The sequence below is a fragment of the Homo sapiens genome, chromosome 3 (assembly GCF_000001405.40).
Source record: "Homo sapiens chromosome 3, GRCh38.p14 Primary Assembly".
Classification (NCBI taxonomy): domain Eukaryota; kingdom Metazoa; phylum Chordata; class Mammalia; order Primates; family Hominidae; genus Homo; species Homo sapiens.
Window position 1 is genome coordinate 108,405,289 of NC_000003.12, and position 13,574 is coordinate 108,418,862.

The window sequence follows — 13,574 nt, forward strand, 5'->3', positions numbered from 1 at the left end:
AAGGATTCAGAAATACATAATTGTTACACATCAAAATCATCTTAAATACCTAAAATTTTCTATTTCTTCATCTTTCTCTGAAAGCTTTCTTTCAAGTTCTGCTTTAGCTTCCAAGAGTTCAAGCTGGAAATGAAGAATCTTGCTTTCATTACGTTCCAGGGCTCCCTGGAATACATAAATAAAAAGCATTAAATGAAGTCCACTTTTAGACAAAATTGTATTTTTTACCCAAAACATATGTCGCTAATGTAGCTCTCTTAGAGTTACTGGGAGAGATATAGGTTCAAGCCAGGTCCCTAGAGATTGCAACACAGTGAGACAAGCAACTGCTTTCATTTGTCATTTCACTTATAGATTTGACATTCTTAGGTCTTTCAGCTGTAGCTCCAGAACTAGAATTTTAAAGCCTATTTTAAAATAGAAAATTTCACTCTTGTCTGTGACTATATTTAAACTTTTTAATGTATTACCCTTGACTTTTTCTAACATATTCCAACTTTGGGATAAATTTTAAAAAGTATCAGAGCTAGAACAAGGAAGGTGATAACTCCTACCTGGAATCTTCTATTAAATTCTGGACATCACGAGGGGATAGAGGAAAAGTTGGATGTATTCAGAGAACAAACAACAGGGTAGTGTCCAAATATTGTCATATGAAGAACAAATAAAGGAATTTACAATGTACCTGACATGTAACACTCAGTGTGAGCCATTAACACCATAATTGGTACCACTACTGCAAATGAATTTCTTTGACAGGCAGAAGATTCCTTGCCCCTTTGTGTATTCAAATATAGTTAAGGCAATTATTTGCAGGGATGTTATAAAGGCAATTCAATTCTAAAAGCATAGGTTTGGCTAAATCTTTAAAACCCGTCCTGAAGCTAAAAATGTATATAAAAGAAGAAATCCAAAAAACACTTACAGAATACCAAGGATATAAGGGCATAAGGGGTGATGCAATTTTGTGGTCAGTTAGCTACAGGCAGTCCTAAGGGCAGAAGTAATTTTTTCATAGCCTCTTTTGAGGCGTGCTTAGCAGATATGACAAAATGTAAAAAAGTAAAACTGAGTTGCAATTTTAAAATAAAAATAAAAAGATGATGGGAATTTTAATAAGACCTCCCTTGATGTTATCTTGATACTACCTTCAATATAAAAGAAAATAAAATTGCTAACGCACACTCAAAAACAAATGCTTGGATAACAATTTCCTCAGAGGGAATAGTGTAGTAGTTCCTTCAAGAGGAAACTGTCACCTCTAACCCTCTAAAATGCACTGAGAAAGTGAATCTTTAGGGAACATGACCTGGGATAATGTGAGTTTTATGGCTTTAAAAAAATCTGATAAAGTTTCTCATAAAGGCTCACCCAGGAAAATAAATAACGCAATGTTACAAATACATGTCCAAGTTGATGAAGTATTTATGGATGTGGCTGAGGACAGAAGTGGAGAAAATGCGAATAGAATGTGTTGCCATCTAGTGGTACTAAGTGGTTTGAGCATTATGGCCTTCCTGTCATTCTCACCCTTGACCCACGTGATGATCGACTGAATACACAAAGATGCCTCTGTGTTATACAGGACATAAATGGCCCGTGCCAGTTGTATTTTTCATTGGCTTGTCATAGTACTTGAAATTTCTATCATAAAATTTACTTCTTTCAGTTAAGGTGGTGGCTTCAAAAAGTCCCTTGCCAGGATAGCCAGAGAACCAAAGGGAACGAGTAAACAAAACAAAGTTCACCAACTGTGTAAGGACCAGCTGTGCTACAGGGCACCACACTGCCAACGAAAAGGAGTCTGTATAAAGTTAGATAGCCTCAGGAAACATTTATGTATAACAGGGTGAGAGCTGCTGCCTGACAACTCTATACAGAGGGTAATATGGACACATTTGCTTGGAAGTTTCTTCTGGAATCACAACGGTGAGGTAAATTTAACAGACAATGCTTGGCACAGAGTGGTCCTTTGGGGTCTTGTTTTCCATCGCCATACCTTCCAAGAGACCCCTGCCTAACACTGACTGCCACACCTTTCAAAAATCTTTTTTCTTTTTCTACTGGTGGGAGGATCAGGGCTGTATTTTAATGTGTCTGAATACTTGTTCAAAGGCTGAGTCAGGAAGATGAAGTTCAGCTCTGAGAAGAGGCTGCACAGGGCTTCTTAACCACCTAAGAATCATGATAAGATGACTTCCTTGTTAGTTTACCTTCTTTGGCGAAATGTCTTCTTAGAGGTCCTTTCAATTGCTAATGCACACCCAGAGATACAGCCAGAGACTTTTCCTGAACTGTGAATCCATAACACTGAAAACCCTCCTGTCAATCTGCACAAAGATGAGCTTTCAGAAACAAATGTTTGACAACATCACTTTGAATCTTATTTCTGAAACTACCGAAAGTTTTTGGGGAAAAAAAATTGAAAAGCTTTTGTGACTGACTCTTTAAAGAGGGGGCAGCTATGAGAATATTTATTCATTCAACATTTGACAAATATTTACTGAGCCTCTACTACATGCCAGGCAATGTTCTAGGCCAGTGCTTCTCAAATATTAATGTGCATATGAACCACCAAGGGATCTTGTTAAAATGCAGATCCTGATTCAACAGAGATGGGCAGAGGGCTGAGATTCTGAATTTCTAACAGCCTCCCAAGCGATGTCCATGGGCCACATGTTGAGTAGTGAGGGTCTGGGCACTGGGGATAAACTGGTGAACAAGATAGATAGTTCCTGTTTTTACTACAATCAGGAGATTTGCATTCACTGTTGTGTATCCTGCTCTCTGAGTCTCAATTTCCTCTTTTATAAAATGGGGACAGTAGTTTCCTACGGTGATTATATTAAAATTATGCATTTGGCAGAGTGCCTAGCATATAGTAAATAAACATTTGAATACGTGTCCTTTTGTTGGTGCTGCTGTTATTGCTGAATGCAGATCTTCTGCCTTGTCACAGTGAAAACTTTCTTTTCTCCCTGGTGATAATACCTCTGTTTCTTCCAGTGTCACCTGGACTTCTGTCTTCTCTTCTTCAATTAGTTTCTTGACCTTTTCCATTTCAGTTAAGTTCTTGGTCCCTTCTCTAACCTGGTTTGTCAGATTAGAAATCTCTTCTGGAGACAGAGGTAAGAAAAACAAAGTTAGTGAATGGGCTCAGTCTCAAACCAATGATACCAGGCACAACAGATTCTTCCAGCCCACTGGAACAGTGACCTCATGCCACCCTTGGTAACTTGATGACCTATCCTATATGGGACCGAGAAATTTTAAAAGGGTATTCATTTTTTCATATAGTCTTTTGCCATCTGAAAATTGAAAATTGTCTACAACAAATGGTGAGGGTGGTGCTTCAGAGTATTGTACACTGGACAACTTTTGCAACTTTTACATGACAGTCCTGCTCATTAGAGCCATTCCAGGTTCCACCTGGAGGAACACAGACCTGGAGTCCCTACCCTTCCAGTGTAAGTGCTTAGCTATCAACATTAGTGGCTGCCATTGTTTCAGCCACCACTCAACACTGCGACAGGAACTTAAAGTAAAAGCTGGATCAATATCTGCCAGCATTCAAGGCATGGCCCCAGATAGGCCAGAGAATCAGAAGGGGCCCAAGGAAGACAGTGGCTTTAGCTCAAGCACTTGAGTGTTTTTTCCTAGCCTCTCATGAACATAAGCCTTTGACAAACAGAATAGGGCATCCAGAAGTCACAAAACCTCTTCCACCTGATATTGTTATGGTCAGTTCTGCCTTTAGTACCTAAGAGGTGTGGTATAGGGCCAAGTAGCTCAGAGAATTACCCAGTTCAGAGGTGGTGGAAGGAGCTCAATAGGTCACCTGCTCCTCTGGTTCTGAGATCCTGGGCTGTGATGTGATATGATGAGAATTTTTAGAAGTTACAAAGACAAATATGTTAGATGGAAATTTTCATTGCATAATAAATTCTTCTCTGAGAAGTGCTCTCCTAAAGATGGGTTATCAAGAAGAAAATCAGGGAAGAGGTTCTCAACTCTGACCGCACCTTAGAATCACCTGGAGAGCTTTGGAAAAAGCTCACTCAATATTCAAACCCCGCCCCAGTCCAAAGGTGGTGCCCAGATCAGCAGCACCGGCCTCACCTGGAAAACTGTCAGAAATACAAATCCTTCAGACCTACTGAGTCAGAAACTCTGGGGGTGGGCCCCAGCCATCTGTGCTTTAACAAGCCCTCCAGCTGGTTTGGACGTAGCTAAAGTTTTCTAACCACTGTTTTAGCACCCGTCACGTCTCCATCTAGTGCCTTGATCATAGACTATGTAGGTCAACAGAAAGTAAGCTTCATTTACGCCTCCAACAGTAATGAACTTGCTTCCAGGGCATCTCAGGGTTTTCATGCACATTGCTGTTGGTGCTGGGATAAGTTGGCAGCCTCTTTGAAGGGCTGTTTGGCAGTAAATCAAAATTTAAAAATTCATTTCATTACCCCAGCAATTTCTTTTCCAGGGATCCATTCTACTGAAATATTTTTACATGTGCATAAATACATGTATAGGGATATATAATGTAGGATTATTCATATTTGTGAATAATTGGATCTAAAATGAATAAAGTCTAGTTAAATGATAGCCATCTTTATTACAAAACACTATGTAGCTATTAAAAAGCTTATGGTAGGTCTCCATGTACAGGCATGCAAAGACCCACAAGGTACGTGGGAAGGTTGCACAGCTCAGTAGTTAAGTGCGTATATGCTGGAGCCGTGCTGGCTGGGCTCAAATCCCAGATCTGCGACTTATCAAATGTGAATTTGAACAAGTTACTCAACTTATGACCTATATAACCTTCATTTTACAGATGAGAAAACTAACACTAGACTATTCTGAAAATTTAACAATAAATAGTTAAACAGTGCCTGGTACGTAGTATGGGCTATAGAAATATTCATTAAATCGGGAAATATATTCATATATGAAAAAAAGGTGTAGAACAATATGCAATTTGGGTAAAAACTACACACTTGAGTATAGCACACATGGAAAATCTTGGTACGGTTGTGGATATCAAGAAATTTTCAGCACTGGCTTCCTTTACAGAGGGGAACTGAAGTTAAAGGTAGGAAACTAGTCTTACTTTTAGAATTAATTTAATACAAACAGCATCTAAAGTAAAAAAAAAATAAGTCAAACAGAAGTATAAAAATTGAAAAGTTAAAACATGTTGGGAATGTGAAAATGCTGAAGACAGCCTTGCCTGTAGCCAGGGCTCTTCCTGAGCTACCCGCTCTGGCTTTGGCTCTGAGCCCAGCTCGGTGTACCTTGGAGGTTCTTGTTCTCCCTCCTGAGTGTCTCCTGGCCCACGATGCTCTCCTCATAGGTGTTCTTGAGCTTGAGGAGCTCTGTACTGAGAGCCTGAACTTCCTTCTGAGAGGCATCCAGCAACGCCTGGGACTCCTCGTGCTTCTGCTTCCAGTCGGCAAGGGCCTTGCCAGACTGCAGCTGCTTCTGGTCCAGCCTGGCTGCTGCAGAGCGGACCTTCCCGAGGTCAGACAGGGCGTCCCCGAGCTCCAGCTGCAGCTGGTGCCTGGCTCTCTCCAAGGAGGCATTTCTGGCATTGGCCACCCCCATGGCTTCGGCTGCCTCCTGCAATCTAATTGCCAGTTCCTTCCTGAGAAAGGAGGACACCCAAAGAGTGAGTGAGGCAATAACTCTCAGAGAGCTCATCAAGTCTGCCCTGGATTAAAGATAGAGCTTGGGTGCAAAGTAAGATGGCGCCTCTGCAGTGGACTTAGTGGTATAAAGCAACAGCAGCTCCTATCTGAAAGTGACCTCACTGTCTATGACCACCATCCTCTGCCTCCTGTGTGCATGGGGTCTTTATTTTCCCCCTTTGCCAACCTGCACTTGGAACTCAGAATCTCTTTGAATTCCTACAAATATTTGCTTATCCTAAAGCTCTAATAAGCAATACTGACTTGATTATTTCCTAAGAAGGGGGAGAAAAGGAAGATTGTACTGAACACCCTACCAACAGTAAGCACCTTACAAATCTGTAGCCATATGTAGTCACTAAAGAGCTCCTTGGCTGTGTTGCTTCTAAAGAACACTCTCTTGCTTTTTCCTGCTTATTTTCTCTCATCATGTGGCTCCTCAACATGACACAATTCTTTCTTCTCTCCGAGTTTGTTCTCCACCTCAGCTCCTCTCTCCAGATTTATATTCCCAAACCCATCTCATTATGCTCACTTAACAGGTCCTACTGTTCTTATGGGGTTTTTTAGCCCCCATCTGCTGTTCCTTGGGCATCTCTGAGATGGAGTAATTTATTACAGTGCTTCTTTCTCCACCACCCCCGTAATATGCTACTATTAGGAATTCTAATGGATGAAATGTGTTCTGTTTCTTACATCTCCTGCAGGGTTGCTGGCAGTCCCATTCTTACTCATTCATTATACTTCTTAGATGAAAAGTACTGTATGTACCAAAGCTTTTTCTCATCTACTGCTATTAAACAGAAAAAAAGGTTCTCCGGAATTAATAGGACTGCATAACTAGCCCAACAGAGGAATGTGGTAATAAAGTCCCCTTTTGGTGGAATCCTGCAAAAACCCCTATGTGCTCAGGATCCAGGAAGCATCTAGGCTCTAACAACACTCTGCCCCCGGCTTCCTAGCCATACTCACTTCACTTTTCTGCTTCATGTTTCTTAAACGTTAAGAGGATATTCTGATGCTTTACCTGACTTAAGGCAGTAGGAGTCAAGTGAAATAATTACATATATTTTAACTACTTTAGAAATGCTTGTTGATAAAATAGGAGTTTCACTTTGGGTGACTGATCATACTGGACTGCCTGGGACTGAGGGGTTTCACCAGGTGATATGGTTTGGCTGTGTCCCCACCAAAATCTCATCTTGTAGTTCCCATAATCCCCACATGTCATGGGAGGGACTAGTGGGAGGTAATTTAATCATCGAGGCGGTAACCTTCATGTTGTTCTCATGACAGCGAGTAAGTTCTCATGAGATCTGATGGTTTTATAAGGGGCTTTCCCCTTTTTTATTCACTCACTTCTCTTCCTGCCACCATGTGAAGAAGGACCTATTTGCTTCCCCTTCCACCAGGATTGTAAGTTTCCTGAGGTCGCCCCAGCCATGGTGAACTGTGAGTCAATTAAATCTCTTTCCATTATAAATTACCCAGTCTTGGGTATGTCTTTATTAGCAGTGTGAGAACAGACTAATACACCAGGACATGAGACTTTCAAAGCTAAAACAGGAAACATCCAGGGCAAACTGGACAAACTGGTTACCCTTGTTTTACCAATAACTTTGTTCTACGTTTAATATCAACTACTATTTTGCTCCTTAACTTGCCAACCATAAGCACCTACTTAGTTATCTCGAATATGTAAAGGGATATTGGAAATTAAGAAACTAAATCCTTATCCTTGGGGAACTTAGAATTCAGAAGCAGTACAATGGGTCTTAGATAAGCTTGAGTCTGCTAAACTAACTCATCATTTGAACCCCAGCCTGGAAATCAAAGCAGGCAAATCTTTAACTTTAATAATAACAAAAGAAACCAGGACCCTAGATTGTTTTGTAGCTGCCTACCTCCCTGAGGTGATTTAGAGGAAAAGCATAATACAGACAAAGTTTTATTTATTCTATGTCCCACCAATTTGAAAGTAAAAAATTGTCTTCACAGAGTACCATGTTTGCCCTTTATTTTCTTTAGTTATTACATACTACAGAACTAGTTCCAACAAACCCATGTGGTCATAAAGTAATCTATATTCTTTTGCTCTTTCCTACCCAATCCCAAAAGAAACCATCAAACAGAATGATAGATAGGCAATTTCACCTGAATTCTTCAATCATTAGAAGGGGGAAAAATCTTACTTCAGAAGTAAATACCATATTTGGATATAAGAGGGCATCTCAGTTCAAAGCCAAAACTTTCTGTGGTCCAGAGTTTTGATAAAACATCTACTGCAGGTATTTTTAGTATCTGTCATTCTAAAGCCCTTTTTAAGTTACTGTGGGTACAGAGATGGATCACTTGGTACCCCTTCTGGGACAAAACACAGCAGCTGTTCAGCAATTGCACAGCAATGCCTCTCAAAGATTTAGGTGAAGAACTGAAAAACATTATTTCTGGTTGAAGCTAAAGAGAAATGTATTGATCTTCCCTGGATTTTTGCCAAGCTACCAAGCCAGGGACACATTCTTTTGAGTAAACCTTGAATGATTATAAGCTGGGGTTTGACAATTTCTCTTAAAGGTACAGTTTCCTGGCCTCTAAGCAAAATGCTTCAGTTCTATACCCTGGTACTGAGTCTCAATTCAGCTGTGCCCCAAACTTGTGTAACTCCTAAAAACTTTTAAAACCTTTACATAGAAATGGCTATAAAATTGATATTCTAATCTTAGGGGTGGCCTGGGGATGATTTCTTTTCAAAGCAACCTTTGTCCTAGAAGACATGACGACAGATCCTAACATTTTTTTCCAGCTTCCCTGTCCATCTTCACAGACTACTTTGTAGTCTACAAGTTGTAGACCAGGGACACAACGACTTTGATGGAGACACGTACACACATGGACTCAATTATTATGGCGTTACAAATGAAATACAGGGTTTTAAACGATAGCCTATTTTCACACCACGGCTCAAAGTCACATCTTTTATGAAAACTTCCCTTGTGCCCCTAGAAAGAGCCTCCTTTCTCTCCCCAGGACCTCTTTATAGTCTCTGTCACTTTGTATTATACTTTTTATATTTTTAGTCCCTCTACAGAGTGTGCTTCTTACCAGCAGTGCACGTTTCAGCTTTGGTTTTGGGCTTGTTCCTGCACTCGGCAAGGATTTGTTAAGTGCATACCATGAGGCCTTGGAGACAGAGTCATTATTCTCATACTGCTCCATGTGAGTAACTCCAGGTTAAGGATAGCCTTGCCCTACTCACTTGGCATCCTCCAAGTCTTCTGTTCTCTGGATGACATTGTTTTCATACTTCATTCTCCATTGCACCATTTCAGCATTGACTTTGGATAAGGTCCGGTGCAGCTCAGCCTTGACCTCTTGTTCTTCCTCATACTGCTCTCGTAGAAGGTCACAGTCACGCTGAGCCTTCTGCAGGGCATGGGCCAGGGCACTCTGGGACTGTAGGGGACACACATTAACAAAAAGGTCATGACCACCATGAGCAACACAAGTCTTGAAAGTAAGCTAATTTTTTTTTTAGGTAAGATTAATAACAACCTGCCACAAATTCAAGCCGAACCTGAACCTAGTAAGATAACACTAGGGAGAGAATTTGAGACAAGAGAAAGGATAGATAGTATCTAATTGCTGCCATTAAAACAGGGAAGGGAATTCTATTTAGAGAAATGCCAGCTTGGCTCTGTGGACTTAGACAGGCCTGGAATTCTAGAAATAGTGGAGAATGCAAGGATAGCAAAGAGAACATTCACTATCATTTAGGCAATAAGATTTATATTTAGCAATATATTAGACTCAGAGCTTGTTTGAACCAGAAAGAACCACTAAAATTTAGCCTTTTTATTCCACTGATGAAGAAAATAAAATCTTTTATTTCACACTGAAATCTCTAAAAACCTCAGCTCCTAATACTTCAAAATAGTACTACTGCCCAACAGAACTTTCTGTAATGGTGAAAATGTTCTCTATGTACACTGTCCAATATGGTAAACACCTAGCCACATGTGGCTACTGAACATTCAAAATATGCCTAGTACAATGTGTGATCAAAACTGAATTCTTAATTTTATTTAACTTTAATATAAATTTAAATAGTTACCTGTAGTGTAGTAGAGGCTTCTATATGTATTGGACGGCCCTGCTGGGTTTAATAAACATTTTTATCATTTAAATGGTGATCTGGCTAACCTAGCAGCATTATTCCCCAGAGATAATCTAGTGTGGAAAGAACACTAGATCCTGACGGGTCCTCAAGTGTCCTTTATGCAAATTAGGAAAAAAGCACATTTTCAGGAAGATACAGCTCTGAGGGCACAAGGTTTAGTTAATGGCAGCCTCAGCCAGACCCCTTTGGGTGGTAAATGAGGAGCCACAATACACAATGACTCTGAAAAGGATGCAGGCTTTGGAGTCAGATGAACTTGGGTTCAAACTGTGACCTCTCCTCTTGTTTAATTTTATTTTTCTTTAAAGGAAAAACTTTTAAAACCTTTATGTGGCATTTACATGGCATATATTTAATTATAGAAGTAAACAAGACAAAGACAAAATCCCTGCCCTAAAGAGCCCAAAAGAAATAAGGGGATACACAAAATACACAGGCAAATACATTAATAAATAAAATTTCTAATAGCAGTAAAACAAACACAGCAGATAAACACGATCTAGAATGTTTGGCTCCTTCTCATCATCCCTCTAAGACTTCGGTGAAGGGCCTTTAAGCAACGGGAAGGGCAGTTATAAAAGTCCTAAGGCAGGAGTGATGGTGCCTGGTTTAAGAGGCAGAAGGGAAGCCAGGGCAGCTGGAGGGGAGTAAATGAGGGAAGCAGATGTAGGAAGTAGGTCACAGAAGGAGGCTGGAGCCAGATCAGGGGGGCTTGTAGGCCAATTGGAAGTCACTGGGAAGGCAGCCAGAGAGATCTTCTAAAATATAACTCATTTCACTATGCGTTTAAGTTCCTTCACAGTACATCACTAGGTGTATGACCTTGGACATGATATTTTTCTTCTCAGAGCCTTGGTTTTTTCATATATAAGGATGCAATTCTATCTGCTTCATTTGACTGATATGAAGATTGAGATAACATGACAGAAGTATCTGGTACAATGTCTGATGCACAAACAATGATACATTTTTAAATTTGTATATAATATAGAAAGTATGGAGAGTTAAGGGAATAAAATGGTACAATATTTTAAAACAGACTCAACTACCTGTGTTTTCACAGTATACGCCTTCATAGTATGGTCATGTACAAGTAAGATAGTTTGGGGTCTTAGTAATAAGATGCCTTGACTATGAACTAAGAATTCATTTAAATATCAGGGCTCAAAGAATTCATATCTCATGTTAGTCACTATGCTTTCATCTTCCAGAATCACTTCCACTGGAGTCACCTTCTAGCAACATTATACACTCATAGGAAGAAATGACTAATTTCTATAATTTATTGACAATTTAAAAGTAATATTGAGCTAACCCAGTCCCACTTATTTTATTCTAGGCTTTTATTTAATTTCACTTTTTTATGAGCAGTTTCAAAATCAAAATCCTGAAAGAGCCTTGCTGCCCTTCTGTTCAAGTACTTATACAAGATGGGAACACACACTTTGCTTGCTCTAAACCTGCAACGAAGCAATTTGAATCACCGAGGAAGATCCTTCAGTCATCAGGGTTCTTCCTGGCATGGTTTTTCCCCCATAACTTCTAGGGCATTTTCCCTTCTTCTTTTACAAAACATCTTCAGGCTGATTCATCAAGCACTATTTTTTAAAAAAAAAAACACACAGTCAAGAAACTAGTGAGAAATAATAGATACATTACTTTGGTCTCCTTTTCCAGCTGCCCTCTCAGGTCTTCAATCTGCCGAGTGAAGTTGCTCTTTTCCCTGGAAAGTTGGTTTATCAGAGCCTCCTTCTCTTCAAGCCTCCGTAGGAACTCGCCTACAGAAAGATTTCACAAAACTACATAATTACAGTCTTCCTATCTATTGCCTCCTTCACTTGACTTACTGACTTTAAGGGTAGCCAGAATGACTCCTACCCACATATTTTTGATATTTAGGAAGGGTCTGAGAGTCCTATTATTCAGCAAAACCGTGGCAATGATCCTTTCCAGGACTCAGAAGAGAGTCCTAAAAATGAGCTGATTTTTAGTAATAAGTATGAATCGATAACAGATGATATTAGTTACCATTTATTGAGAAACTTCTATGCTCTAGGTACTTAACGTATGTTATCTAGTTTAATTTTCATAACTCCTTGATAGTGTAGGTATTATACTAACCATTTTGCAGAGGAGGAAACAGAGCAACTTAAATATGACTGAAACAGAAACATACACAGTTCGTAATTGGTGAAGGTAGATTCAAATGAAGTTCTTGAAGACCACATTCTTCTATACCATACTCCCTTGTTTATTATATGTGGCTTTGTACACTTCTGTCTATATAATTTTTAGATAATTATAACTTTTATTACCTCACTTGTAAGATGAAGATAACAATAAGATTCTTAATGAAAACTAAATTAGTGTGAATATATTTTATAGACTGAAATGCTAAATAAATATTAGCAGTAGTCACTAAATGGTAGGAAATGTGACGATGAGAGGGAGAAATTCTATCATACTCTAGTCTATCGTCCCTGCTTAACTTATCCTATTAATTATAGTCGGGCCTTCCATATCTGTAAGTTCTGCTTTGTGAATTCAACCTACCGAGGTCCTACAATTTAACTCAATTCTGACACTATTTTCCTGGAGACAGTGTCAGATACACACACACACGTACAGGTATGTATATATATATACACACACACACACACACACACACACACACATATACACACTTAAACACACACATATATACACACCTATATGTACATGCATATATCTTTTTATAAATCACATCGCATACAATATTTTAAAAATCATATTTGTTAACATCACTGCTGAGCTCATCAGAAAAGTCCAAGAGTTGAGAGCCATCAACCTAATGATGGCATATACATGTTTTCTAAAATATAATTTTTACCTAAAAGCTCCTATTTTGTTATTGGCAACAAATGTTGTCAGTTGCTTTCCTTGAAGTGACAGGTTTCCTTTGTTCATTTTTGAGAAATCATCTGCCAAACATGTAAGCCTAAATAAGCCTAGTTTGTTTGTCAGTCATTCTTTCAAGTAAAAGTGATACTCCCTGAAAAAACTACTAGCTCAGCTCAGAGCTTAATCACACATCTTACTCCAGTATGAAACAGGAATTCTTTATGCATACTTCTTGTTTTGTCACACAGAATAGTAAAAAGATATATACTCAAGTTGAGATGTAATAAAATTCATTTTTCCTGCTTCTTAAGGACATCCTTAAGTGAAACTGACTTTTTAAAAAACCGTGAGTACATATTAGCGAATACAATTTTTACCAGTATGTTTTAGTGCTACTACCTTGACTTGTGATCAGGCTGCAGCAATTTTAATCATCGTTGCTTTTGCACCATCAATACAAATGGCAAAATAATTTAAGTTGCAAATAGTATCTTAGTACTATACTAAAATAGCTTCAACCTCATAGACCCCCTATAGGCTCCTGAGAATCACTTGGGATATTTAAATCAAACTTTAAGGGTATTTGGATGAAAACATCTTGTGGCTTTTTTTTTTTTTGACAGAGTTTTACTCTTGTTGCCCAGGCTGGAGTGCAATGGTGCGATCTCAGCTCACTGCAACCTCCACCTCCCAGGTTCAAGCGATTCTCCTGTCTCAGCCTCCCGTGTTGTTGTTGTTTTGTTTTTTGAGACAGAGTCTCACTCTGTTGCCCAGGCTGGAGTACAGTGGTTAGCTGCAACCTCCGCCTCCAGGGTTCAAGTGATTCTCCT

At 39.3% G+C, this 13,574-nt stretch overlaps 1 protein-coding gene across 2 annotated transcripts in view, besides 2 other annotated features; it reads right to left on the reverse strand.

Moving 5' to 3' along the window:
* MYH15 (myosin heavy chain 15) overlaps positions 1-13,574 on the reverse strand; it is a 170,705-nt gene that overhangs the window by 24,921 nt on the left and 132,210 nt on the right. For both annotated transcript variants that reach the window (XM_011512559.3, NM_014981.3), the window contains 5 exons: positions 11,524-11,642; positions 8,944-9,140; positions 5,295-5,644; positions 2,992-3,116; positions 50-165 (listed from right to left, as the gene is read on the reverse strand). In XM_011512559.3, coding sequence (XP_011510861.1) covers positions 50-165; positions 2,992-3,116; positions 5,295-5,644; positions 8,944-9,140; positions 11,524-11,642 — 907 coding nt within the window. The remainder of the gene's footprint in view (positions 1-49; positions 166-2,991; positions 3,117-5,294; positions 5,645-8,943; positions 9,141-11,523; positions 11,643-13,574) is intronic.
* Positions 1,539-1,638: an enhancer, noted in NCBI's record as "active region_20220". NCBI's record gives its function as "activates an Ori minimal core promoter by ATAC-STARR-seq in GM12878 lymphoblastoid cells {active_cell/tissue: GM12878}" and the evidence as "EXISTENCE:reporter gene assay evidence [ECO:0000049][PMID:35858748]".
* Positions 1,699-1,758: an enhancer, noted in NCBI's record as "active region_20221". NCBI's record gives its function as "activates an Ori minimal core promoter by ATAC-STARR-seq in GM12878 lymphoblastoid cells {active_cell/tissue: GM12878}" and the evidence as "EXISTENCE:reporter gene assay evidence [ECO:0000049][PMID:35858748]".